Source organism: Homo sapiens, chromosome 8, assembly GCF_000001405.40.
Source record: "Homo sapiens chromosome 8, GRCh38.p14 Primary Assembly".
NCBI lineage: Eukaryota > Metazoa > Chordata > Mammalia > Primates > Hominidae > Homo > Homo sapiens.
Genome location: NC_000008.11, coordinates 141,438,156 through 141,465,810, shown reverse-complemented (window position 1 = coordinate 141,465,810; position 27,655 = coordinate 141,438,156). Strand labels below are relative to the sequence as shown.

The 27,655-nt window shown below is 50.1% G+C and overlaps 1 long non-coding RNA gene, 2 other non-coding genes and 1 pseudogene across 5 annotated transcripts in view; 1 reads left to right on the top strand and 3 right to left on the bottom strand.

Annotated features, from left to right (window-relative positions):
- MROH5 (maestro heat like repeat family member 5 (gene/pseudogene)) overlaps nt 1-27,655 on the top strand; it is a 73,405-nt gene that overhangs the window by 41,419 nt on the left and 4,331 nt on the right. For all 3 annotated transcript variants that reach the window (NR_102363.3, NR_102364.3, NR_160399.1), the window contains 5 exon segments: nt 16,062-16,221; nt 17,723-17,904; nt 24,032-24,175; nt 24,554-24,668; nt 25,442-25,585. This is a non-coding gene — a transcript (maestro heat like repeat family member 5 (gene/pseudogene)).
- On the bottom strand, nt 857-26,817 carry LOC105375789 (uncharacterized). The gene is made up of 3 exons (XR_928722.3): nt 18,698-26,817; nt 11,068-11,176; nt 857-956 (listed from the first exon to the last, which is right to left on the bottom strand). It is a non-coding gene; the product is annotated as an uncharacterized LOC105375789 (long non-coding RNA).
- HNRNPA1P38 (heterogeneous nuclear ribonucleoprotein A1 pseudogene 38) lies at nt 5,583-6,794 on the bottom strand (annotated as a pseudogene).
- Nucleotides 18,262-18,336, bottom strand: LOC124900270 (small nucleolar RNA SNORD5). The gene has a single exon (XR_007061208.1). It is a non-coding gene; the product is annotated as a small nucleolar RNA SNORD5 (small nucleolar RNA).

Sequence of the window (27,655 nt, the reverse complement as noted above, 5' to 3'; positions counted from 1 at the left end):
GTCAGGGACACCCCCTAGCTCACTCCCCATGCCTGACTCCTGGGGGATTTCCCTGTCTTCCCCTCACCCTGACTTCTCCAGGCCTGGATCTCCTCCCTCCCAAGGACCTTGTCTTCCATCCCCCACAGCCACCCACTCCCCCGGCCATCCCTTGGTGTGACCATCACCAGCTTCAGGCACTCCCACCTTTACAGCTCGCCTCCAGACCCAGCGAGCCTTGTCCCCAGGACCTGCCGTGCACTGCCCTGCACCCCTCTTACTCCCCCTCACCTGTCCTCACTGTCACCCTCCTTCCAGCCTGGGGCACACCTGGCAGTGAGACAGTGACTCCCGCACACACACAGGTCCCTGGCCCCAGCTGCTGGCCTTGCTCCCATTTCACTGAACACTCAGAAGCCACCAGAACAGGGGTGTCATAAGCTCCCAGAGCCCAAGAGTTGTTTCCAGGAAGATGTCTAATTTCCATGTGGAAGCGCATTTGTGGTTCTGTGAATAATTTCTAGTTTTACTGCACTGTGGTCAGAGAGTGTTGTCTGTAAAGTTTTTACTTTATGAAATTTACTAATCTTTTAAATGCTTTTTGTGAATGTCCCATTGGCACTCAAGAAGGAGGTGTATTTTCTGTTGTCAGGGTGTAGAGTTTGAGATACCGGCATATCTCAGGATATTACGGGTTCGGTTCCAGGCCACCACAATAGAGCAGTCACGTGTGCCTCCGTGTTTCCCAGTGCACATAAGAGTTCTGTTTATACTATACTGTGGTCTAGTCAGTAGACAATAGCATTGTGTCTTTTCAAAGAACAATGTACTTACCTTAATTTAAAAATGCTTTAGTTCTAAAAATTGCTAATGATCATCTGAGCCTTCAGCAAGTCGGGATCCTCTTGCTGGTGGGTGGTGAGGACTGCTGACTGGTCAGGGTGGTGGCTGTTGAAGGTTCAGGTGTCTGGCAAGTTCTTAAAAATAAGACAACAATGACGTTTTAGCATCAATGGACTCTTCCTTTCCTGAAAGATTTCTCTGTACCATGTGATGCTGTTTGATAGCATTTTGCCCACAGTGAAACTTCTTTCAAATTTGGAGTCAATTCTCTCAAACCCTGCCACTGCTTTATCAGTAAGTTTATGGAATATTCTAAATCCTTTGATGTCATTTCAACAGCATCTTCACCAGGAGTAGTTTCCATCTCAGAAACCACTTTCTTAGCTCATCCATAAGAAGCAGCTCTTCATCTCTTCAAGTCTGATCATGAGATTGCAGCAATTCAGTCTTCCGGCTCCACTTCTAATTCTAGTTCTCCTGCTATTTCTACTACATCTGCAGTTACTTCCTCCACCAAAGTCTTGAGCCCCTCAAAGTCATCTGTGAGGGCTGGAATCAACTTCTTCCAAACTGCTGTTCATGTTGCTCTTTTGCCCTCCTCTCCATGAATCACAAATGTTGTTAATGGCATCTAGCATGGTGAATCCTTTCCAGAAGGTTTTCAATGTACTTTGCCCAGATGCATCAGAGAAACAACTATCTATGGCAGCTACCCTCTTGCAAAGTGTATTTCTTCAATAATAAGACTTGAAAGTCAAAATGACTCCTTGATCCACAGGCTGCAGAATGGTTGTCGTGTTCACAGGCAGGAAAACGACATCGATCGCCTTGTACATCTCCAGCAGAGCTCTTGGGTGACAGGTGCATTGTCAATATGCACTCATATTTTGAAAGGAATCTTTTAGTTCTGAGCAGTAGGTCTCATCAGCGGGCTTAAAATATTCAGTAAACCATGAAGTAAAGAGATGCACTGTCAACCAGGCTTTGTTGTTCCATGTCTAGAGCACAGGCAGAGTGGATTTAGCATCGTTCTGAAGGGCCCTAGGATTTTCAGAATGGGAAATGAGCATTGGCTTCAACTTAAAATCACCAGCTCCATTAGCCCCTAACACAAGAGTCAACCTGTCCTCTGAAGCTTTGAAGCCAGGCTTTGACTTTACCTCTCTAGCTATGGAAGTCCTAGATGGCATCTTCCAATAGAAGGTGGTTTCTTCATTGAAAATGTGTTGTTTAGTGTAGCCACCTTCATCAGTGATCTTAGCTAGATCTTCTCGATAACTTGCTGCAGCTTCTCCACCAGCACTTGCTGCTCCATCTTGCACTTTTATGCCGTGGAGATGGCTTTTTTCCTTCCACCTCACGAACCAACCTCTGCTAGCTTCAGACTTTTCTTTTACAGCTTCCTCACCTCTCTCAGCCTTCACAGGGTGGAAGAGTTAGGGCCTTGCTCTAGATTAGGCTTTGGCTTAAGAGAATGTTGTGGTTGGTTTGATCTCTTCAAACCACTAAGCAATAAGGGCTGTTTCACTTTCTTCATATGTGTGTGTCCACTGGAGTAGCACTTTTCATTTCCTTCAATAATTGTTCCTGTGCATTCACAGCTTGGCTCACTGTTTGGCAAAAGAGTCTTTGCTTTGGGCCTATCTTGGCTTTCAACATGCTTTCTTCACTGAACTTAATCATTTCTAGTTTTTGATTTAAAGTGAGAGAAATGGGACTCTTCCTTTCACTTGAACACTTACAGCCCATGTTAAGTTATTAATTGGCCTAATTTCAATGTTGTTGTGTCTTGGGGAATAGAGAGGCCCAAGGAAAGGAAGAGAGATGGGGGAACGGCCAGTGGGTGGAGCAGTCAGAACCCACAACATCTATGGATTCAGTCTGGCATCTTATATGAGTGTGGCTCATGGTGCCTTAAAACAATTACAGTAGTAACAGCAAAGATCACTGATCACAGATCACCATAACAGATTAATAATAATGAGGATGCTTAAAATACTGTGAGAATTACCAAAATATCACACAGAGGCATGAAGTGAGCACACGCTGCTGGAAAAATGGCACCAACAGACTTGCTCGACGCTGGGTTGTCACAAACCCTCAACTCGTAAAAAATGCAATATCCGCAAAGTACAATAAAGTGACGCACAGTAAAACGAGGTGTGCCTCTATATGTATAAGGTTTACCTTGATTGTGTTGTCGAGGTTTTCTACGTACTTAATTTCTGTCCTCTTGATCTGTCTTGGACTGAGTGTGTGTTAAAGTCTCACTAAAGAAACATTGGTGTGTCTCTATCTATACTTTCAATCCCTGGACTTTTACTTTGTGAAGGTGATTGCCATGTTATTTGGCACATACATAGTCATAAGTATTCTATATATTTATGAACCATGACTTTTACTATTGAGATGCCCTGCTTTGTCACACTTAATGTTTTGGGGACTTGAATTCTACTGTCTGTTCAGAATCATTAACCTGCTTTTTTATTTTTCCATTTGCCCAGTATGCATTTCTCTACTTCTTTATCTTAGCCTTTGGGAATCCCTTTGTTTTAGGTCTCCATCTTATATACAGCACAAAGTTTGTCCTGATTTGTAATCCAAATTGAAAATCTTTTGTAATAGGTGAGTGAAGCTTGTCAATATTGATGCGATTGATATGTTTGTCTGTCATGACATTTTGTAGTTGTGTGTATTTCATGACATTTGCTGTTTCTTTTTCTACAAGAGGTGCATTCTTTGCTCTTCAGCTTCAATTTTGTTTTAATCTAGGAAATGTATTTTCATCCTAGTTGTTACCTTTGTGCTCCTAACTTATTTTAATGCCCTTAGTCGCTTAGTCCCCATTTTATTATTCAGCCCTTTAACATCAGGTTTATCTTTGTGTGTGTGTGTGTGTGTGTGTGTGTGTGTGTGTGTGTGTGTGGCAGAGTCTTGCCCTGTCACCCAGGCTGGAGTGCAGTGGTGCAATCTCAGCTCAGTGCAACCTCCGCCTCCTGGGTTGAAGCAATTCCCCTGCCTCAGCCTCCCAAGTAGCTGGGATTACAGGTGTGCACCACCACGCCTGGCTGATTTTTGTATTTTTAGTAAAGACAGGCTTTTGCTATGTTGGCCAGGCTGGTGGTCTTGAACTCCTGACCTCAGGTGATCCACCCCCTCCTCGGCCTCCCAAAGTGCTGGGATTATAGGCGTGAGCCACCGTGCCCGGCCAGGTTTATCCTTTTTATTTGATACTGATGCAGGGCAGGTGAGCCACAAAGGTGGGGCTTACCCCAGGAAGGTTCTTAGCTTTGCCCAGGAAAAAATTCAAGAGCAAGCCCATGGTGTTAGACAGCAACTTTGATTGAAGCGGCCCTGCACAGCAGCAGCAGAGGCCTGCTCCTTGCAGAGCAGGGCTGCCCAGAGGAGCAGCTCAGAGGCACTTCTGCAGTTAATTATGTGCAAATTACGGGGTAGGTTATGCAGAAATTCTTAGAAAAAGGGTGGTAACTTCAGGGTCGTCAGGTCATTGCCATGGAAAGAGGTGGTAACGTCCTGGTGTAGCCATGGCAATGGTAAACTGACATGGCGCGCCAGTGGGCGTGCCTTATGGAAAGGTGCTTCTGCCCTATCCCTGTGATAGCTAGTCGTCAATTTGGTCCTGTATCCGTGTCCCACCTCCTACCCCAATACTCTTTAATTCCCACCTGTTTTCTGCACAACAATTAGTGAAATTGTTCTATTTTCCTCTTTCTGTCTCCTTCTCCCATTTTTCAGTTACATATTTGTACTTTGTCAAAACATTGAACATTCACACTCTACTGCTCTACCCTCATCTCCATACTTTGTGTTTACAGGCACACCATCAGTTCCTAGGCTGAAGTTTTCCAGTCATCTTAGTCTGAAGAAGCTCATCCTCCAAAAGATTCAGAATTCTTTAGGTTCTTTTATGTTGAAAGTTCTTTATTTGAAGAATGGTTTGGCTGGATATAAAATTCTTTGTTCACATTTTCTTTTATTATTTTTTAAATGCTGTTGCATCGTTGCCTTGCGTTGTTTTTTAAAAGTTAATGACAATAGGGGTTTTTTTGGCGTTTGTAAGTTATTTGCTCTTTTTGCCCAGAGACTTTAAGATTTTTTTGTAATCTTTGAAATCTAATCATTTAGTTAGGAAATGTCTCAGAGCTGATCATTCGGGGTTAATGTTCCCAGGCACCTGGTACCTCCTTTGATTATGTAGATTGAGATCTTTTTTTTTTTTCAAGAGAATTAAATCATTTATTGATTACACATGATAATGGATGATACACAAGCTTCATTCCCATCTATAGTTTTATCTGGTACCATTATTCAATTTACATATATTTCATAGGATGTGCCAACAATCATTTTTATAACCAATTAATTCCATGACTTTTCTTGGGCCATCCCTTTTAACGGTGAACTTCAGGTGACAACAGTAACTGTCAGTTCAACTACACCAAGGTTTCTGAAGACAATGGCATCTCCACCCAAGCAGGTTGTACATAAATTCCACATAGAACCTGGCATCACCCTGAAGGAATTCTAACTTCACACTGTTGGGGAAATTTACCAAGATGGCTTCAGAGTAGACTAACTTTACACAACACATTAAAAAAAAAAAAAGACATTTATTCAGCATCACGATCAGACTATTACATTTAGCAATCAACAGCATGGGAGCAAAAAAAAAAAAAAATCTGCATTAAAACCCTTTGTTGGAAAGCTTTACACTTTCCACAGAACAGAAACTAAAATAACCTGTTATACAATTAGTCACAAATACAGTCCTCGAGTTTTTTTGCCCATACACATGAGTATCTGCCTAAAACATGTCTTCTTTGTAGCAGCTAGGCCCTGCCACCACAGTGCTTGACCAAGTTCACAAATCTGTTGTAACCCGTAGCTTCCCTGTCACGTCTATGGCTCTCCTCTCCTGCTAAGCTTTGTTTCCTAATTAAAATCTTCTGCCACTGCCATAGCTACCGCTGCTACTGGAACCACCATAGCCACCTTGGTTTCGTGGTTTTGCGAAGTATTGGCCTCCACCACCATAGGAGCCAGAGCTTCTGCCTCCAAAGTTTCCTCCCTTCATGGGGCCAAAATTTGAAGACTCGTTGTTCTAATTGCCAAAATCATTGTAGCCTCCAAAATGGCTTCCATCATTACCAAATCCATTATAGCCATCCCCACTGCCACCATATCCACCACCACCATGGCTGCCACCAAAGCCACCATAGCCACTGAAGTTTTCTCCATGACCAAAGTTGTCATTCCAACCAAAATCACCTCCACCACCACCACCAAAGTTTCCAGAACCACTTCGACCTCTTTGGCTGGATGAAGCACTCGCCATCTCTTGCTTTGACAGGACTTTCCTAACTTCACAGCTGTGGCCATTCACAGTAGGGTATTTCTGAATGACAAGCTTATCCACAGAGTCATGGTCGTCCAAGGTTACAAAGGCAAAGCCCCTTTTCTTGCCACTGCCTCGGCCCGTCGTGATTTCAGTCACTTCAATTTTCCCAAATTGTTCAAAATAATCCCTTAGGTGATGTTCTTCTGTGTCTTCTTTAATGCCACCAACAAATATCTTTTTCACAGCTAAGTGGGCAACTGATCTTTGAGAATCCTCTCTTGAGACAGCTCTCTTTGGTTCCACAGCTCTTCCATCCACCTTGTGCGGCCTTGCATTCGTGGCTGCATCCACCTCCTCCGCAGCAGCATAGTGACAAACCCAAAACTCCCGCCGGAACGCTTGGTGTTGGAATCTCTCATTACCACACAGTCCGTGAGCATTCCCCATTGCTCAGAATGGCTCCTCAAGGCTCTCATCTGTTGTTTCAAAGCTCAACCCTCCAATGAAGAGCCTCCTCAGCTGTTCGGGCTCTTTAGGAGACTCTGACTTAGACATGACAGCAGGAAGAAGAGAGACTTTAACGATGCTTCTTCAGGGGCGTCCACGGGCAGAAGAAAAAAAAGAATTGAAATTTTTTTGAGGTTGCTATTCTTGGAAAATTTTCTTGGTTACAGTTTTAAATATTAGTCATGTTCCATTGCTGTTTTTCTTCCTCAGGGACTCCAGTAATACAAATGCTATTCCTCCTGTCTTCCATTTTCACTACTTTCCCTCTGACCCCTTTTACTCTTTCTTAAATTCACTTTCATTCTCTTGGTTGCTTTTCTTGTTTTCCTAAATGCACCTTATTAAATTATCATTTGAGTCTTATCTCTCTTGGACACCTTGTACTCTTCCTTCATTTCTGAGATAATTTTTTCATCTCATCCATTTCTTTCCTGAAGTCAATCAACTCTCTTTTCAGATCCTGTTGGATTTTTTTGTCCTTTTTTGAACTCATAATTCAAGGTAGTTTTCACATTTTTAAATGCTTATTTGAGCATATGTAATGACACGTAGAATGAATGTTGTCTTAGGGTTTTTTTCCTGCATCGTGATTTTTTCCAGGGGGAGTTCCTTATTTTGTGTGTGCTGATTTTTGTTTTCTCATTTTTTACAATAATTCTATGGATCTGTTCATTTTGTTCCTGTTCATGTTTGTGTTCTTTGCGTGTTTTATATGATTTTAAGTTCAATGGCACCCTCTTCTGTCAATACAGCAAAGTCCAGATAATTTAATAGACTGTTTGGGTGGTAAGCAAAAGGATTATGGATCCTCCAATGTTTTGGTTCCATTTCTATTGCAGGGCCATACATTTTTCCCTTTTACCTCTTTCCCTATCACCACCTAATCTCCAAAGGATACCTCTGCTTTCTTTTTTGCCCTTTCCTTTCCCAAAATCTGTGCATTTTGAAGACCGCCCTCCAAAGCAGGCAGACTTTTAAGTCACTGCTATGTGATTGGGGCTCTGACACTTGAACTTTTTTTTTTTTTTTAAGACTTAGGGTGGACTTAGTCTTCTAGAAGGTGCTTTAGGCTTTATATCAATCTCAAGCCCTGTTGCTAACTCCTCCCTTCCCTCTTTCCCCTCAGTTTCTCTCAGCCTGCCTTTATCAAAGCCTTATGGTAGAACGGGATAGGGTGGGAGCAGTAGAGATTTCATGCTAAGGTTGATACTCTTCTCTTTGTGCTTAATTTTGAAGTTTGGGAACTCTCTGAATTTGCACTGGAGTCATAGTTTTTGTGCATTTTTATTTCCCTTCTTGTTTTTCTGTTGTATCTCAAGGAAATTTTGGGAGGTGGAGGCCTAGGCAACAGGCATCGTCTTCAGCTACCTAGAAGTTTACAGTTCTATTTTATGTATTGGAATTTTTATCTTATTTCCTCAATTCTAAGAAGCATTTTTTTTTACATTTTAACATTTATGAAATCGGGGTGCATTTTTCACTGATGGTGCCTTACACCTGGATTTATATAGTTTTCTGCCAGGCACCTGGGGGCACTGTTAGTTTGAGACCACTTTCAATTTAAAAGTCTCTGCTTGAGATTTTATTGGGCCACATTGGTGTGAATTCAGGCATCCAAAGAGGTTTGGGTTCAAATCCTCAGGACATTCGTACCCCTTCCCACTTCCACCCAGTGTGCTGACTGAAGCATGACAGTTTTCTCGATTTTTCTTTCTGCAGGGCCGAGTTTTGTTTGTTTATTTCGATCACCCTTAAACCGTACATGCAGACCTTTGGGTCCCAGCTCTATGTTGGGGTCTCCTATAAGACTCCCATCTTGGCCATTTTTTCTTTCTTAGAAATACGTGAAATCATGGTGGGGTGTGTCCTAAAAGTATAAACAGAATTGTACAATATGTAGTCTTCCAATATTCTTCTGTTGTTTGGCTTGGGTGTTTGTTTGTTTGTTTGTTTGTTTGCTGAGACAAGGTCTTGCTTAGTTGCCCCGGCTGGAGTGTAGTGGTACAATCATAGCTCATTGTAACCTCAAACTCCTGGGCTCCAGTGATCCTCCCACCTTAGCCTCATGAGTAGCTAGGACTACAGGCATGCATCACCACACCTGGCTAATTTATTTTTTTTGAAGAGATGGGGTCTCATTATGTTGCCCAGGCTGATCTCAAACTCCTGGCCTCAAGCAATCCTTCCACCTTGACCTCCCAAAGCGCTGAGATTATAGGCATGAGCCACCATGCCCAGCATGTCTGGCTTATTTTTTTCCTCCAATATGATGTGTCTAAGATTCATTTTAACATGTTGTAGTTCATTCATTTTTGTTGCTGTATAGTATTCCATTTTATGAATGCCAATTATTCTTTTTACTAGAGGTCAATATTTGGGTCAATTCCTGTTTGGTACTATGGTTAGCAACGCTGCAGTGAACTTGCTTATACATGCGCCTGGATGTACATAAGCTCTCAGTTTCCACAGTGTATGCATCTAGGATGGAAATGTCTGCATCATAAAGCTATACATATATCCAACTCTAATACATAATGCAAAATGTTTCCAAAGAGCTTGTACTGATTCACACTCTCAGCAGTATTTTTTTTAGAGTTCCCGTTACTCCGCAGTTTACTAACACTTAGCATTCACTTTTTAGCCAGTAATCAAAGTTTTAGTCAGTCTGGTGGTGCTATTAATCAGTATTGTGGTATTCGTTTCCACTTTCATGATTAAATAAAGAAGTTGAACATCTTTTCATTTCTTTTTAGCCTCTTTGGTGATATGCCTATTCAAGTATCCTGCACACGTTTCTATTGTGTTGTCCGCCATTGCTAATTTCCATTCCCCTGGCTCACCCTATCTAAGGTTCATCATTACTTTGCTTTCCTTTTATTTAGTTTTATTGCACCTATACATATTCCTAAAAGTACTTTATTGTTTTTCTAATTTCATATAAATTATAATTTCATGTGAGTTATAATTTTTATACTTTCATATGAAGGGCATTCTGTTGCATATACTTGGAGATTTCCATTTGCCTAATATTACTATAGTTTTTTAGAGTTTATATTGTCTAATATTAAGTGTCTAGTCATATAATAACACCAGTTTTCTTTTGTTGATATTGCATAGTATGCCTTTTTCCAGACTTTTACTTTTGCTATTTCTACATTCTTTTGTTTTAGATGTGTCTTTTGTAAACAGCATTTAGTTGGGTTTTTATAGCCTGACGACCTTTGTCTTTAATTGAAGCATTTATTCAATTTACTTGTAATATAATTGTTTATATATTTGGGATTGAATTTACCATCTTTACTTTCTTTCCAGACCAAAAAAAAAAAAAAGAACCTTCAGAGTCTTCAACTGACTTAACACACTCTCAATTTTAATGCCCTTGTTGTTTAACTCTGTATATTTTTAAATCTCACAAGTCAATATTCATTTAGAGTTGCCCCCATTTTCACTATTTTCTTTGCTCTTAATTTCTTTTTAAGCCTCACACCCCTCACCTGAGGCCATTTTCCTCCAACCTAAAGCACATCCTTTAGAACCCCCTTTAGTTTGGGTCTGCTGTTAGCAAATGCTTTCAGTTTTTATATGAAAATGTCTTTATTTCATCTTCAATCTTGATAGACACTTCACTGGGTATAGAATTCAATATTGGCAGTTATTTTCTTTCTGCACGCCAAGCTAACATCCCACTGTCACTGGCTTCCATTGCTGCTGTTGAGAAGTCAGCTCTCAGCAGGACTGCTGCTCTTTTCATCGTGCTATGTGCTTTATCCTGTGACTGGTTTTACAGTACCCTGGTTTTTTCTGGTTTGGGAAAGTTTGTTGTTTTGTTTGTTTTTATTTGTCTGATAAGTCACCACAGTGTGTCTAGGAATGGATTTCTTTATGTTTATCCTGTCTTGAATTCCTGTTCTGGAATATTCTGGTCCTGGAAGAATCCCAGCCATTATCTCTCCACATAGTGCTTCTCCTGCATTCTCTCTCACTTTCCTTCTAGGGCACTGATTAGGCACATGTCAATATCTTACCATATCCTCTATTTCACTAGATCACTCAGAGTGCTGGGGGGAACAGATAACACACTCAAATTGGTTGAGGTGGAAAATTTAATAAAAGAGCTCTTGGACAAGGGGTAGAGTTTAATGTGACTGACAGGGGAAGGGCCAGTGCCCCAGGAAAAGTAACAATGCTGACTCATTGCCACCTTCTAGACCTAAAGGGGCAGGGAATGGGAGTGCTCCCAGAACCAAGGATGTCTATATGGCTAGACCACAGGACAGATGGACACGGCAATCCTGTGGCCACCCACAGGGAGAGACTCTGCGGTATAAATACCCTGACTTCCCTCCACTCCCACCTTCTGACCTCTTGCTAGTGCTTACCATTAGCCAAGTCAACTGGAAGCCAAAGGTCAAGAGAGCTTCTTGATGCAGTGTATACAGGTCAGCTTCCTGGGGCATGAGGCAGGATGGGGAGCAGCAGAGATTATATCTGCAGGAGCAAGCGGAAGATATTCAACACAATTTCTTACTTCCCTTCTGCTTCCCCATATTTGTGTCCCTCATTGCTGAATTCTGTCTAATTTATTTTGAGTTATCTTCTAGTTCACTAATTCTCCTTTAACCATGTCAATGTGATGTTAACGTTTTCCATTGCATTTTTTTTATTTCAGATTTGGTATTTTTTATTTCTAAAATGTCATTTTGGTTCTTTTTCTCACCTGCTCTATCACTTATAGGTTCCTAGTCCCTGAAGACATTTTTAAGCTTGTCTTTTATTTCTGTATTCATAATCAAATATTTGTTTCATAGTTCATACCTGACGATTCTAATATCTAAGTTTTCAGATCTACTTTATTTGTTATTCTTGCTGTATGTTACCGATGGAGTGTGCCTTCCTCATGTGTCTGATTATCTTTTGACTACATACTGGATGTTGTTTTTGGAAAAAAAAAATGTAGGAATGATTTGGGGCCCACAATTAAGGTATTTTCCTCCAACAAAAACAACTTGTCTTTGCTCTGCCAAGCACCTAAGGATACCTAAGGTAAGCCCGTGATTACCTTAAGCCAAATCCAGTGCTTCAGATTCCCTGGATGCCCCCATTCAATTCAAACGTGGCTGAAATTTGCTTGGGTTTTTCACACCTGCTTAGGCACCAGTCTGAAAGTGGCCAAGGGTCTCCTATGAGATTAACCATGTTGTGCAGTCTGTGAGCTTAGGTCTCTGTCCCTTCATCCCACAAGGCTGTCAGAACAAAGGATCTAATTTTCCAGAATTGTCAGATGCCCCCAAGGCATCAGTAGCTTTCCTGCTCCCAACCCCTCAGGGTCATCATATTCCCCACATGTTGGCCTTGCAGTTTCTTACAGTCTTGTCATCTCTTTAATACTCTCAGGACCCTTGTTTATGTTTTCTTTTCTTTTTGAGACAGGGTCTCACTTCATCACCCAGGCTAGAGAGCAATGGCGCAATCTCGGCTCACTGCAACCTCTGCCTCCTGGGTTGAAGCTATTCTCCTGCCTCAGCCTCCCAAGTAGCTGGAATTATAGGCATGTGCCACCACACCTAATTTTTGTATTTTTAGTAGAGATGGGGTTTCACCATGTTGGCCAGGCTGGTCTCGAACTCCTGACCTCAAGTGATCTACCCACCTCTGCCTCCCAAAGTGCTGGAATTACAGATGTGAGCCACCATGCCCAGCCTACATGTTTATATTTTCTCCAACCTTTATAGTTGTTTTCAATGGAGGAGCTGATTCAAGTAGCTTAGTGCACCCCTACTGGAGGATGAAGAAGTCTTCTCATTCCTTTTTTTAAAAAACAGATTTATTGAGATATAACTCACATACTTTACAATTTGGCCATTTAAAGTGTACAATTCAATGGGTTTGGCATATTACATTATTTTTAATGGTAGTAAAATATGTATAATATAAACTTTGTCATTTTATTCACTTTTAAGTGTATGATTCAGTGGCATTAATTATATTTGCAATTGTTGCACAGCTATCACCACTGTCTAATTCTAAAACTTTTTTATCACTCCAAACAGAAGCTGTGTAACTATTAAATAATAATTCCCCATCTTCCCCTCCCCATAGCCCTTGATAACCTCTAATCTACTTTCTGTCTTATGAATTTGGCTGTTCTCGACATTTCATGTAAGTGGAATGATATAATATTTGTCCTTTCGGGTCTGGATTCTTTCCCTCCGCCTAATGTTTTCAAGGTTCATCCATGCCGTAGCATGTATCGGAACTTCATTTCTTTTCATTGCTGAATAATAGTCCACTGCACGGGTAGGCCGCATTTTATTTATCCATTCATCTGTTGACGGACACTCGGGTTGCCTCCACCTTTGGGCCGTCATGAATAACGATGCCGTCAGCACTGGCATACCAGCATGTTCGAGACCCTTCTCTCAGTTATTTTGGGTGTGTACCTAGGAGTGAAGTTTCTGGGCCATGTGGCCGTACTATGTTTAGCTTTTTGAGGAACTGCCGTACCATTTTCCATAGCAACTACACCATTCTCTATTTTCACCAGCAAAGTACCAGGGTTTCTGTTTCTCCACATACTCACCAGCACTTGGTGTCTCTCATCTTGGGGCTGTAGCCATCCTAGGAGGTGTGAAGTGACATATTTTGATTTGTGTTCCCCTGAGCATCTCTTCATGTGCTTATTGGCCATTTGTCTATCTTTTTTGGAGAAATGCCTCTTCAAGCCCTTTCTCCACTTTGGAGTTGGGTTGTTTGTCTTTGGGTTGTGACTTGTAGCTCCCATTCCTTCTTAGACCCACATGAACCAGACTTTGTCCACTGCTGCTCCAATAAAATGGTTCTCGTCAAGGTCACCAGTAACCTCACGTCACTAGGTCCAATAGTCCATTCTCTGTCCCCACCTTATGTGACCTGTCAGCAGAATTTGACTCAGCCAGTGACTCTCTCCTCCTGGGAACGCTGCCCTCCCCGGTTCTCCTCCTACCTCCCCGGCCACTCCCGCTCAGCCTCCTCCAGTGGCTCCTCCTCATCTCCCAGATTTCATAGCCCTGAGGCCACAGGGCTGACCCCTGATCCTCCTCCTCAGCTACACTCAGTTTCACAGTGACCACCTCCATTCCCGTGGCTTCAAATATCCCCTAAATACTGACACCTCTGGCCCAGGCCTCTCCCCTAACCCCCTGACGGCAGCCCTTGGATGTCACACAGGCGTCTCCCACTGACCCAGCCAGGCCACACCCCTGGCCTCCCCCAACCTGCCCCTCCTGCAGGCTTCCCCATGTCACCGCTGGTGACTCTGTGCTCCCAGCATCTCAGGCTGGAATTCTTGATGCCATCCGACTCCTCTACACCCACATCCCATCCCCTAGGAAACCCTGCCAGCTCCACCTCTGCCTGTGTCCCGCCCCCGCTGCCACCACCCTAGTCCAGGACACCACCGGCTCTCACCTGCAGTGACTTGCCCACTTCCAGTCGCCCACCCCCCAGTCCTTGAAGAACACACGTAGGCCCATGCCACGTCTCTGCGTAAGATCCTCCAGTGGTCCCATCTCATTCAAAGCCTCCACAGCAGCCATCAAGGTCGTGCTGTGGCCCCGATGATATCACCGTCTTCCTATCCTCCTCTCCCCTCCCCACTCCACCCCAATGACACTGGCCTTTCTTTCTGTCCCCTGAACACACCAGGATTGAGCTGTCTCAGGGCTGTCTCTCTGGAAGCTTCTCTCCCCCGCATCGCTGCCTGGCTCCCTCCCGATATCCTCAGGGCTTTGCTCAAGTGCCCCCTTCTCAGGGGATGCGTCCCCGACTGCCCTGTCTGAAACCGAAGGCACCCAGACTCTCCCCCGCCCCCCACGCTGCTTTTTTCTCTCAAGCAGCACTGAGCATCCGGCACACTGCGCTTCCTGCTGTGTCCCCGTGAGGCTGTCATGCACAGGAGGCCGGGGACTCCTGCCGATTCCGCCACTACTTGGTCCCCGGGACACTGTCTGCATGCAGTGGCGCTCGGCTCACACCTGCTGACTGGGGGGCAGGCCCGCAGGCAGCAGAATAGAAACACCCACCCTCTGGGCATGCACGCTCGCTCGGGGAGAATCCTCCCGCTTAAGCCTCTTGAGGCAGGCATTGCCCACTACTCTGCGGCCAGGAATCCAAGGCTCAGAGGGGTTAAGTGACTCCCCCAAGGTCACACAGCCAGCTTGGGGCAGAGAAGGGGTCTGAGCCTAGACCCTTCTGACTCCAAAGGCCCGGCTCTTTCCGGCTAGGTGGAAACTCACAGAGTCCTCCGAGCTGTCGTGCCCACCTAGCCAAGGGTCAGATGGTCCTGGAGTGGCTTCCCCAGGGTTTTAAGGAGAGCCACCCTTGAGTCTGTCTTAAAGCAGGGGTGGGAGCGCATGGAGCCACCCTTCTGTGGTCCTCGCAGCCCCAGCCTCCTCATGCCAGGGGCCCTCCTGCCCCTCGAACCCCTTCCACCCAACACTCAGACCCTAAGACCATTTAGGGCAGTAAACAGGGCCATCATGGTCACCAGCACCTCAGGGCAACCCAGCTGTCCCTTCCTTCCCTCCAGGCCTCACCGAGCCATGCCCCATGGAACCATGGAAAGGCCACAGGACTGGACAGCCCTGGCCTCCAGGATCCCCAGTTCCAAGACAGGGCCTTGATCAGGACAGGTCTCCTCTCTCCGGTCCTTAGTGGCCCCATCTGCAAAATGGGCACTCTACAAACTGTAAAGCACTGTGCTCATGCTAGTGAGGACCCAGCTGAGGAGCTGGGCCCCAGCAAACCCGGACTAGGAGGGAGTAGTCAGGGAAGGCTTCCAGAGGGAAGTGACTTTGTGGTGAGCCCTAAGGGCTGAGGGGGAATTAGTCAGGGACAAGGAGTGCTCTAAACACCAGGCCTGCACATGTGGGGGCCCAGAGGAAGGGAAGGACAGGCAGGGGCTGGAGGTCAGAGAGCAGAGAGCTTGGAGGCCGTGACTTTGAGTGCCGGCTGGGGCTGTGGTCTACAGGACCTGGGAGCCAGGGAAGATGACAAGCAGTTGGGAGACAGGGCACATTAGGAAACCTCCAGTATGAGTGAGGAGCTGGCGGAGAGACCTTGAAAGCGGGGAGATCCAGGAGGGGGCTGGTGTGGATGTGAGACCACAGGCAGGGACCAGGGGCCTCCTGTCCAGCCCCCGCCTTGGGCCCCTCCCACACCAACCTGCAATGCTCGTATCTGCCCTGAGCCCCATCCCACTAGGGTCCAGCTCAGGGCCCAGCCTAAGTTTGCTGTTCCAGGCACCCAGGCCCTGGTGATGGTGGCCTGCTCATGTGGCTGAGCCCAGCCAGGCCTCGGTGGCAGCACTGCCCTCACATGCCCTCTCTGCCCACAGCCACACCTTCCAGCTGTGGAGGGCCCTGGGGGCTGGGCAGCCCACGAGCCACCTGGTGCTGACCACACTGCTGGCCTGTCTGCAGGAGCGACCCCTGCCCACCGGTGCCAGCGACAGCAGCCCCTGCCCCAAGGAGAAGACCTACCTGCGTTTGCTGGCTGTGAGTCTCTGCCACCGCCCCATCAAATACTGGCAGCACCTCGGGCACTCACTCTGTGCCGGGCTGTAGGGGGGCACCCCATATCCAGGCTGCAGACACCCAGTCCAGCCCCAGCCTGGAGGAAAGCCGCCCAGGGCTGACCACACAGGCCCAGCTCCCACCTCCTAGCCGAGGGCTGTGAGCTCCTGTCTGTGAATCAGGACAGTCGTGTCAGTCCCCTGGGCTGGCAAGGGAACTCACTCACTCACTGTGGGGCGGCCTCAGAGAGGGGCTTCAGGTATAGGGAAGGGTGTGGAGAGAGTTGAGAACCCTCCCCATGCTTGGGTTCTGGGGAGTCATAGATTCTAGAGGAATCTTAGAGGCTGCCCTCTGCAGCCGCCACCCCCCTGTAGGAAGCCCCTGGTTTTCCTCATAAGCCCAGCACTGCTTCCACACTCCCAGGAGCCAGGAGCTCCCCTCCTGGCATGGCCACACCTGTCCCCCTTACCTGGACCCTGATGAGGCCACAGCTGTGTTCCTGTTTAGAGCTTTCCAGGCTGAGTCCCTGCCCCAAAGGCACCCCAGCAGTGGCCCAGAGCTCACAGCAGCTCCCCTACCACCCAGAGCCCCCCAGACAAGCTGCTGCCTGCAGCAGGGGTGTGATGAGGGCTTAACAATGGCAGCCGGTGGGAGAGCACCCCCTCGGCCTGGGGATTTATCAGCTGGCCATCCCCAACAGCCCCGCCCCGGTCGGCCCTGGGCTGATGCTGCCCCCCTACCAGAGGACCACACAGCAGCATGGGTGAGACCCACCCAGGGGTAGCAGGGGAGCCTTCCCTGCACCCCACCACACCGCCAGTTCCTGCCCTCCCCCCAGTTGTCACTGCTCAGTGCTGGCCCCACCCTGAGAACATTCTGGACTGAAGGCTCCGGCAGGCACATTCGGCCTTTGGGGTTGGGGGCTGCTATCAGCTGACTCTGCCTTCCAGGGCCATGGGTTCCCCAACTCCCAGGCATCAGGCCCTGCTGTGTGCCAGCCACAGAGCTGAGGGTACCGTGAGACCACACAGCACAGGACCTTGCCTTCAAGGCAGTAGAGCAGAGGGCCCAGACGCCAGCAGCTCACCCCTTAGACAGGAGCAAAGTGCAGAGGGCAGATGGTGGCATCCAGTGTGCGGTCTGAGGGAGGCCCTGGGTCAAGGTGGAGGTCTGCAGGAGTGTAGAGCGGACAGCATCCAGGTGGACAGCTAGGGGAGGCTGGGGACCACTAGGCCATCCAGCAGCAGCGAGACCCAAGCGGTGGGTCCAGAGGGTGCAAGAGACGGCCAGGCTGAGTCTGCAGAGGCACGGGGTCAGGCCCCACAGGGAGGGACAGCATGTGGACACTTGGACTTGGTCCTGGAGAGCTTGCAGCAGGGAGGGACGAGCATGCTTGGACGTGGCTTTTGTGGGACAGTAGGTCAGAACCCCTGGTCCCGGGACCCAGGGCCTGGGAGCCTCACTCCACGCCTGCCCCCGACAGGCCATGAACATGCTGCACGAGCTGCAGTTTGCCCGGGAGTTCAAGCAGGCCGTGCAGGAGGGCTACCCCAAGCTCTTCCTGGCCCTCCTCACCCAGATGCACTATGTCTTGGAGCTGAACCTGCCCAGCGAGCCCTAGCCCAAGCAGCAGGCCCAGGAGGCGGCCGTGCCCAGCCCCCAAAGGTAAGACTAGAGCCTCCCAGGCCTCCTGGCCTGGCCAGACACACATAGGGTTCCGCAGGCATCCGAGGGCAAAGACTGTGTTAGCCTCATAGAGCACAGTAACAAAGACGCATACCCCACGGACTCAAAGCAACATCTCCCAGTGCTGGAGGCCAGAAGTCTAAAACCAAGGTGTCACCAGGGCGTGCTCCCCTGAAACCTGCGGGGGCCTTCCTCACTGCTTCCGGTTCCCAGTGTCTCATGGCCACGCTGGGTGTTCCTGGGCCTGAGGCTGCACCACGCTCATCTCTGCCCCTGTGGTCACCTGACATTCTCCCTTGTGTGCCAGTGTTTAAATTTCCTCCTTTTTTTTTCCAGCTCTGTCAGAATTAAGCTTTCGTTCATGTCTGTTGAGTGGTTCAGCAGTTGAACAGTTAAATTCAGCATCTGAATAAATTTCCCCTTCTTATAAGGATACCAATCACTGGGTTAGGGCCCCACCCTAACGACCTCAACTTGATAACATCTGCAAAGACCTTCTTTCCAAATAAGGTCACAGTCACAGGTACCGTTGGTTGACTTCAATATATCTCTTTTCGGGGGGACACAGTTCAACCCACAACAGTCATGAACCTGAGCCCCATCCATGGCCAGGGCCACAGGGGCTGTGGGCAGCACCTGCAGACAGGTGTTCGTCCCACTTACCCGTCACCTGACGGTGCTTGGCAGTAGAGATACTTAGTGTCACTGCCATACAGCGACCTCAAGGGGACAGCAGTTACCAAAAGCACCCATGCAGTGAGCCACATCTTACCCCAGTGGGTTTCCTGCGAGGACTCGAGATGAATGTCGTTGTCCCTGCTCTACAGATGAGGCAACTGAGGCTCAGAGAGGGTCAGAGGCTTCCCCTGGGCCACACAGCATGTCCATGCAGAGGCGAACTGGGCTCACCCATGGGGCAGATGCCTTTCCATGCCCTCTTGGGCATCTCATTGGTCCTCAGCACATGCTCAGGCTGACATCACGGCCAGTTGCCCGCTCCCCCGCCCACCGTATTCTGGCCTCAGTAGGGCTGCCTGCCTTCATCTTCCCTCTGCACCAGGTCATATTTCCAAAAATCCAATAAGCAAGTCTAAAAACCGCTGGGGCCAACTCTTTTCATTTGTTTGTATTATGATGTGCGTCACGCAATTTGTCAGTTTTAACAGCTCTCCCCAAGGCAAGTCACTTAAAAAAAATGCCACTTCTTCTCATCTTGCCTCCGAATTCAAATGTGCACGAAGTTCCTTTTTTATTCAGTTCAACCATGCAAAATGCATGAATCTTTCCTAATAAGCTAATAAAACCTTCTCCTCCCGGAACGTGGGAGGGTTGGGAGAAAGCCTCACCCCGTCTGCTCCTCCCCCTGCTGGAATGTTCTTCCCCCAGCCATCCTGTCTCTGCAGGCTCTGCTCACCCGCACCTCACTGAGGCCTCCCCCACCACCCTCCAAAATAGCAGCCCCTTCGGCGCCTCCCACCCTCTGCTGCTTTATTCTCGCCGCAGCCCCGCCATCAGCTACCATCTGTGATCTGCGCCTTTTACCTGCTTTACTGCCCTCACCCATAGACTGGAAGGTCCCGAAGAGCCAGAGACATCTGTCTGTCTCTCGCGGGCTCCCCATACAGCAAGGACGTCTGTCTGTCTCACTGGGGGCTCCCCATACAGCAAGGACGTCTGTCTGTCTCACTGGGGGCTCCCCATACAGCGGGAATGTCTGTCTGTCTCACTGGGGGCTCCCCATACAGCGGGAATGTCTGTCTGTCTCACTGGGGGCTCCCCATACAGCGGGAATGTCTGTCTGTCTCACTGGGACCTCCCCATGCGGCTGAGACATCTGTCTCTCGCGGGTTCCCCCACCAGCAAGGACGTCTGTCTCTCTCAGGCCCCTCATACAGCTGGGACATCTGTCTGTCTCGGGCTCCTCATACAGCTGGGACGTCTGTCTATCTCTCTTGGGCTCCCCATACAGCTGGGACGTCTGTCTATCTCTCTTGGGCTCCCCATACAGCTGGGACGTCTGTCTATCTCTCTCGGGCTCCCCATACAGCTGGGACGTCTGTCTCTCTCGGGCTCCTCATACAGCTGGGACGTCTGTCTGTCTCTTTCGGGCTCCTCATACAGCTGGGACGTCTGTCTGTCTCTCTCGGGCTCCTCATACAGCTGGGACGTCTGTCTCTCTCGGGCTCCTCATACAGCTGGGACGTCTGTCTCTCTCGGGCTCCTCATACAGCTGGGACGTCTGTCTCTCTCGGGCTCCTCATACAGCTGGGACGTCTGTCTGTCTCTTTCGGGCTCCTCATACAGCTGGGACGTCTGTCTGTCTCTCTCGGGCTCCTCATACAGCTGGGACGTCTGTCTCTCTCGGGCTCCTCATACAGCTGGGACGTCTGTCTCTCTCGGGCTCCTCATACAGCTGGGACGTCTGTCTGTCTCTCTCGGGCTCCCCATACAGCTGGGACGTCTGTCTGTCTCTCTCGGGCTCCTCATACAGCTGGGACGTCTGTCTCACTGGGGGCTCCTCATACAGCTGAGACATCTGTCTCTCGTGGGTTCCCCCACCGGCAAGGACGTGTCTCTCTCTCGGGCTCCCCATACAGCTGGGACGTCTGTCTGTCTCTCTCAGGCTCCCCATATAGCAGGGACTTCTGCCTCGCGCGGGGCCACGGGTGGTTTCTGCTCAGGCCGCTCCGGGCAGGTTCTCCTGGAGCCCTGGAGGTGGCCCCGGCAGCTCCCGCAGCCCCAAGAGAAAAAACTCTCACCACGGGCACAGTCCTGGGCTCTGATTGGCCTAGCTTTGCTCACATACCCAATCCTGAACCAATCACCTTGGCCACAGGGGCCTGTGCGGCTCTGACTGGCCAGGCCTGGCTCCCACGCCCTCCAGGGAGCGGCATGGGCCCAGGCCTCTTCGACCACCGCGAAGGGGCCCAGGCTCCGGTTGCCAAACCAGCAGCCATGCCACCCAGCACCACCACGGAGCCAGGGAGAAAGGGAGGCCTGAGAGCAGAGTGACACCCAGGTGTATCCCGGTGGCTCACGGTCTGAGGTCCCTGCCAGGCTGCTGTGGCACTGTCAAGGTGGGGACAGGGGCCCAGAAGGACAACTGGATGAGCAGTGCTGAGTAGCCACTCTCTCTGCATGCCCAAAACGGTGGGGGCGGCACAGGACACCATGGGGCAGCAGGGGAGTCTTGAGGCCTGATGGGGCCAGCCCTGGGCCTCTGAAGTTCTCATGTCCTGCTTAGATGGACAGGCCTCTGGGACCAGGAAGCAGCGAGTGGGGTTGAGCAGGGCACCCTTCCCTGGGCAGGACTGCAACAGGTGCTGCCAGGCCTGCCAGAGGGGCCTCCCTCTCCCCTGCTCCTCCACTAACAAAGCCTTTTCCTTAGAGATGTTTCCTGCGTTGGTCAGTTCTCAGCTGGGTCCTCCTCCAGCCAGTCTCCACCCTGCCCCACAAAGGAATTCTCATTGTTCTCACACGTCATCCATGTGGGCCAACTCTATTTAATTCAAATGGGCTACATCGTTTCTCTTTATTTCGAAGGCACTCATCATTCTCACCCTCATCTCATCTTCATCTTTCCCTCTGTCCCCTGGGGATTTGGGGCCAAAGGCTTGTGATCAAAAGAAGAGGAGGAACTTCACACCCATTAGGTTGGCTACTGTCCAAAAAAAAATCAGAAAATGAGTGTTGGCGAGGATGTGGAGAAATCAGAAGCCTTGTGCACTGTTGGTGGGAATGTAAAACGGTGCAGCTGCTTTGGAACAGAGTATGGAAGTTCCTCCAAAAATTAAATATAGAATTACCATATGGCCCAGGAATTCCACTAATGGGTGTACACCCAAAAGAAAGGAAAGCAGGCACCTGGGACAGATATTTGTACGCCCTGCTCACAGCAGTGTTATGATAACCAAAAGGTAGAAGCAACACAAGTGTTCATCAATGGGTGAATTAGAATAAGCAGTGTGGTCCATCCATACAATGGAATACTATTCAGCCTTGAAAAGGAAGGAAATTCTGATGCTACAACATGGATGAACCTTGAGCACATTCTGCTGAGTCAAATACTGTGTGAGTCCACCTACTTAAGGTCCATGAGTAGCCAAATCTACAGAGACAGAAAGTAGAATGCTGGGTGCCAGGGGCTGGATGGAGGGAGAATGGGGAGTTAATGTTTAATGGGGACAGAGTTTCAGTGTGGGAAGATGAGAATGTTCTGGAGATGGATGGTGGTGATGGTTGCATAATATTATGAATATGCTCAATGCCACTGACCTGTACACTTAAAACGGTAAATTGTATGAGATGTGCATTTTACCACAATTAAAAATAAAACCAGAAGAGGAGGAGGTAATGGGAGAGGGAAGAGGGTCTCATGGACCCTCAGGCTGGGGAGGAGTATGGAAAGCAGAGGGGCTTTGCCTCCTCTTTCTCAGGTGCCTTTGCCCTCTCCGGGGCCAGAGTGGGGAAAGGACGGTTGGTCGAGTATGGGGCAGGCATCACTGGGATGCCAAGTGTCCAAAGAGGCTGCAGGCAGGCAACGACGTTGAGACCAGCAGGAACGGAGGATGGTTCCTTGAGTCCACAGCGAGGCAGAGACTCAAGGGGCTCCACCTTCATCGGTCTTGGGACTGCGTATGGATTTCAGGAGACACATGTCCTTGAGCATTGCCGGGGGTCCTGGGCTGGAGGTGGTTTTGTGTTCTATGGACCTGCAGGGGAGTTGGGCATGGATTCCCAAGAATGCTGAATCAGCCCATCTTTCTGGAAGCCCTGCTGGGGCTGCAGGGACAAGGCAATCTTGAAGAACAAGCCAATACAGTGCCCAAGAAGTCACAGGACCAGAAGCTTCTGGAGTCCTCCCAGAGCAAACAAAATGCCACTCCCCCCACCAAGTCCCCTTCTTCTGAAAACCATTGTCGCATTATGGCTGAGACCAGTGACCTGGAAAATGCTGCCTTTTTTTATGACACAGCTTGGGGTGAGAGGACAAGCCAGCTGGCATTTGGATTGGCACTGTCAGAACTTTCACGGATGGCATTTCATCATTTGACACTTGGTTTTGCAAATCTGCTCAGAAACGTGCCTGGTCCAAGCTGACAGCCTCGTCCAGGCATGCTCACACATCCAGGGTGATGCACTTACACTGACCGAGCACAGGGGCCGGGCCAGGGGTGTGTGGCTGGAACAGTGAGACAGGCCAGCAAGCCAGGGCCATCTCATGTTTCATGGGCCTGCATTCTGGGGCTTTCTACCTGTGCCCCAGGGACTGCGTTCAGTGACAGTGACATCCTGTGACAGTGACATCACTGGCAGGTTTGGAGCCAGGGCCCAGCTTGACCCCACCTCTGTGCCCTTGCCCAGGCTGTGTGACAGGACTGCTCCCTCCTCTGCTGAAGGACAGCGACAGTAGAGGGCCACCTCAGGCTGGGCAGGTGAGGCACCATCCATGGTACCTGGCAACTACCAAGCACACGGTGACACCACAAGCCGTGCACTCACAAGCGAGGGCCGGTGCCGTGGGTTTCTCCGTCACTCACAAGCAAGGGCCAGTGCCGCGGGTTTCTCCGTCACTCACAAGCGAGGGCCAGTGCCGCGGGTTTCTCCGTCACTCACAAGCGAGGGCCAGTGCCGCGGGTTTCTCCATGTCCTCTGAGGGCAGGAGTCTCAGGAGTGGAGAATGGACACTTCTCTGGGCTCCGCTACGCCACACGCCCTGAGTCTCCCACGCCCTCGCCCGCTGCTACCCTCCATACTCTTGGCCCATATTTAAATGCTGCCATCCTTGAGCTGAAGGGCAGGTGCCCTTCAGCAGAGTGCCCCTCCCTAGAAGGGCACCCCCTGGTCTCCTGCCCAAGCAAGGCCCGGGGTCTGACTGGGCACATGCTGCCTCCCCATGCTCGGCCCGGCTCCGCCAATCCTGGGTCCCAGCATTTCCGCGTAAAACAGGGCAGGAGGGAGTAGCCCCAGGGGGCCTCAGTGACGCCAGGCATAGGAACCAGAACGTGCCTTTCTATCTGGGTCAGGTGGGCACCCTTCCCAGGGCAGGGGGTGGCCCAGGGGGCTGCTTGTGGCCTGAGGCAAGCCCTAAGCCCCCTCTGCTCAGCTGCAGCACGTCACTGGAGGCACTGAAGAGCCTGCTGTCCACCACGGGGCACTGGCATGACTTTGCCCACCTGGAGCTGCAGGGATCCTGGGAGCTCTTCACCACCATCCACACCTACCCGAAGGGCGTGGGCCTCCTTGCCAGGTACGGTGGGGCCAGGGCAGGTCGAGGCAGCCTGCTTCAGGCCACGCCCATCCAGGGGACTGGGTATCTGGACTGCAGTGACAGGACACGGCCCCCTGCCCCCGGTCACAGGCACACGCTCAGAGCCTGTTGATGCAGTGTCTTCCCCCGGCCCTCACCCTGGCCTGTGACCTCCTAGGGAACAAGGGCTGTGCCTGCTTCTCTGTCTCCTGCATGTCCAACCCAAGCCTGGCACGCAGTGGGCAGCCAGTGGGTGGAAAGGAAGTGGGAACGTGCCTGCCACGTTGGGACCCTCCGGGATGCCAGCCCTGATGAGATGGGTGGGGGCAGGAGGGTGGGCTCTGAGCAGTGACCACCAGCCCAGGCCCACCCCTGCAGGGCCATGGTGCAGAACCACTGCAGGCAGATCCCAGCGGTGCTGCGTCAGCTGCTGCCCAGCCTGCAGAGCCCACAGGAGCGTGAGAGGAAGGTGGCCATCCTCATCCTCACCAAGGTAGGGATGCAGGCCAGCAGAGAGCACCTCAGATGTCTGAGCCTCCTTCTCCAGCCTCCTTGACACCCCAGCAGAACCCATGCCAGAGCTCACCCTGACTGGGGAGGCTGCCCAGACGGACCCCCTCGTACTCCTGCCTTCCCACTCCCAGCCCTTGGAGGGGGGCTGCACACTTTGGGGACCTGTCTCCCCACTCGGCCCTCCCTGGCACAATCCCTGCAGAGTTGCAGGGGCACTAGGTGCAGACTCAGGCAAGTCTAGGCTCCAACTTCAGCCCTGTCCTGCCTGTGGGACTCAGGGTAAAGCCAAAGGGGAATGGGTAGAAGCAGATGCCGCTGGGTGTGGCACACTTTGCAGCTGTGAGCTCAGGCAGGGGTGGGACTGGGGCGAGGAGGGTGCTGTTTCCGTAACTGACACTAGTAGGGGAACCCAAGCGAAAGCCTCATGCCAGCTCCCACCCACCAGCTGCCTAGGCCGCCCTCCATGGGCGCTCTACCCCCAGGTGCCCCACAAGCTCGGCTCTTGATAAAAGTGAGGCCTTGCCTCGCTGTGTGACCTTAGGCAAGGCCCTTTCCCTTTCTGGGGCTCAGTTTCCCCAGCTGTACATTGAGGGGTTGAACCAGGATACTTGTTCACCAAGATACCCAGAGGGTACTGGTCAGCCTCCCTCCCTGAAACTCCCACCGGACTCCGGTCCTAGAGCCCCACCCCTCAACACAGATGCAGGCGCCTAAAAAAGAGTGACCTGCCTGCCCTCCCGGGGGCCACCTCAGTTCCTCTACAGCCCTGTCCTGCTGGAGGTGCTTCCCAAACAAGCTGCCTTGACCGTGCTGGCACAAGGCCTCCACGACCCCAGCCCTGAGGTCCGCGTGTTGAGTCTGCAGGGCCTAAGCAACATCCTCTTCCACCCAGATAAGGTAAGGGCTGTCGGGCACTGTGGCTGGTGCACACGCAACCCCACAGAACAGCCGGTGCACCGGGTGTAGGCAAGGGCCACCGGGTTGGAATCCCGGCTCTGTCACTTCAGGTGGTGTGGCTTGGGACACCTGACTCCACCTCTCTGGGCCTGTTTCCTCATCTGTAGAATGGGGCAGGTTGTGGGAGGGGTCAAAGTGTCTATTCCCCGGACACAGAGTCTCCTCCACGCCCGAAAGAGAGAGGGGCCTTGTTGCAGACCTCCAGGTGGTCACCGTGAAGCCCACCAGATGGCATCCCAGGGCTCACCCAGAGAGGACAATGCCCTCTGAGAATCTTATGAATGGGTCTCCCCAACCCATTGCTGACTTCTCCAGTCCCAACCAATTCTACCTCATCACCATAATAACCCATATCCCATCATGGACAGCTGTGGGAGAGAAAGCCTGCGATGCCGCCTTTGGGGGATCTGCCCTTACCCCAGCTACAGCCCCCCACTTAACTGACATCGCCCTTGCTGTGGGGGCCCAGGGTACCATGCAGTGGTTAAGAGTCCAGGCCCTAGACCTATCCCCGCTCCAGCACCTTCTAGCTGGCAGGCTTTGTCAGCTCTCCAGGCCTCAGTGACCACATCTGTACAACGAGAGCAGTAATAATGCCTGCCTCCTGTGGTAGGCAGGTCATGAGTGCCATGCAGAGACCGGTCCCTGGCACGTGGTCAGCCCTAGGGGCACCAGCTGGCAGCAGCAGCAAACTTCCTGCCTGGCTGACTCTGCACCCTGAAAATGCTGAGTTAGAGGCAGAAATTTTCTCACCTGATCAGGAAGTGTGGAGCCTCAGCCTCCTCTCATCCACCCCAGGGCTGCATTAAGACCCCAGAGGGAAGGCGACATGCCCAGCCCCCATTTCTGTTGCTGTTGGAGGAGGCTGTTATGAACATAAATATTTTCAGGGCTTGTGGGAGAAAACTGTCATCATGGGAAGGCAGCAGAAGGGGTCGTTTCCAAAGAGATCCCAAAGTCATTTGCCTAGCAGACTAGTTCACTGTGATTCTGTTCCAACCACAGGCCTCCACATGGTTAACAAGACTGACTTCCATCAGGGTCACAGTTGGCAAAGCTCTTTGCATTGTGCGTGATGCATAGTAGGTGCTTAATGGAAGATGGAGACTAGATAGCACTTCCTCAATGATCTGTTCATCTCTCCATCCTTCATCCATCCACCCACCCACCCATTCATCCAGCTATTCACCTACCCATCCATTCATCTCTCCATCCATGCTTCCATCCATCCACCCACCCATTCATCTTCCCATCTATCCACTGATCCCTCCATCCATCCATCCACCCACCCATCCATCTACCCATTCATCCCTCCACCCATCCATCCATCCATCTACTCACCCATTCATCCAGCTATTCACCTACCCATCCATTCATCTCTCCATCCATGCCTCCATCCATCCAACCACCCATCCAACTATTCACCTACCTATCCATCCACTCACCCATGCATCCCTCCACCCATGCCTCCATCCATCCACCCACCCATTCATTCCTCCATTCATCCCTCCATTCAACCATCGACCCACCCATTCATCTCTACCCATGGCTCCATCCATCTACTCACTCATTCACCCGTCCATTCATCCATCCATAGATCCCCCCGTCCACCCACATATCCCTCCACCCACCCACTTGTTCCTTGGGTCCTTCATCTGTGACCCATTCTTGCATTATTTATTTTGTTCATTCTTTTTATGTCTATTCATTCACCCAGTTATTCACGTTTGCTCCCTCATTCATTCATTCAGTGTTCGGTTATCTGTGCACCAAATGTTCTCTCAGGCAGGGAAATGATCAGTAGGAAGTTTCCATGTGCCTCCTCTGTACCCTGCACTGAATACAGGGAATACAGAAAGGCAAAGAAGGGCCCTGCTAGATCAGGAGGACCAGGTCCAGAGAAGAGGGAATGGTTCCCCGCCTGGCATCAGGTGGGATATGGGCAAGCAGCCACAGCAGACCAGAGGAGACAGGCCCCGAGAGCACTGCCAGCCAGGGAGGCCTGCCGGC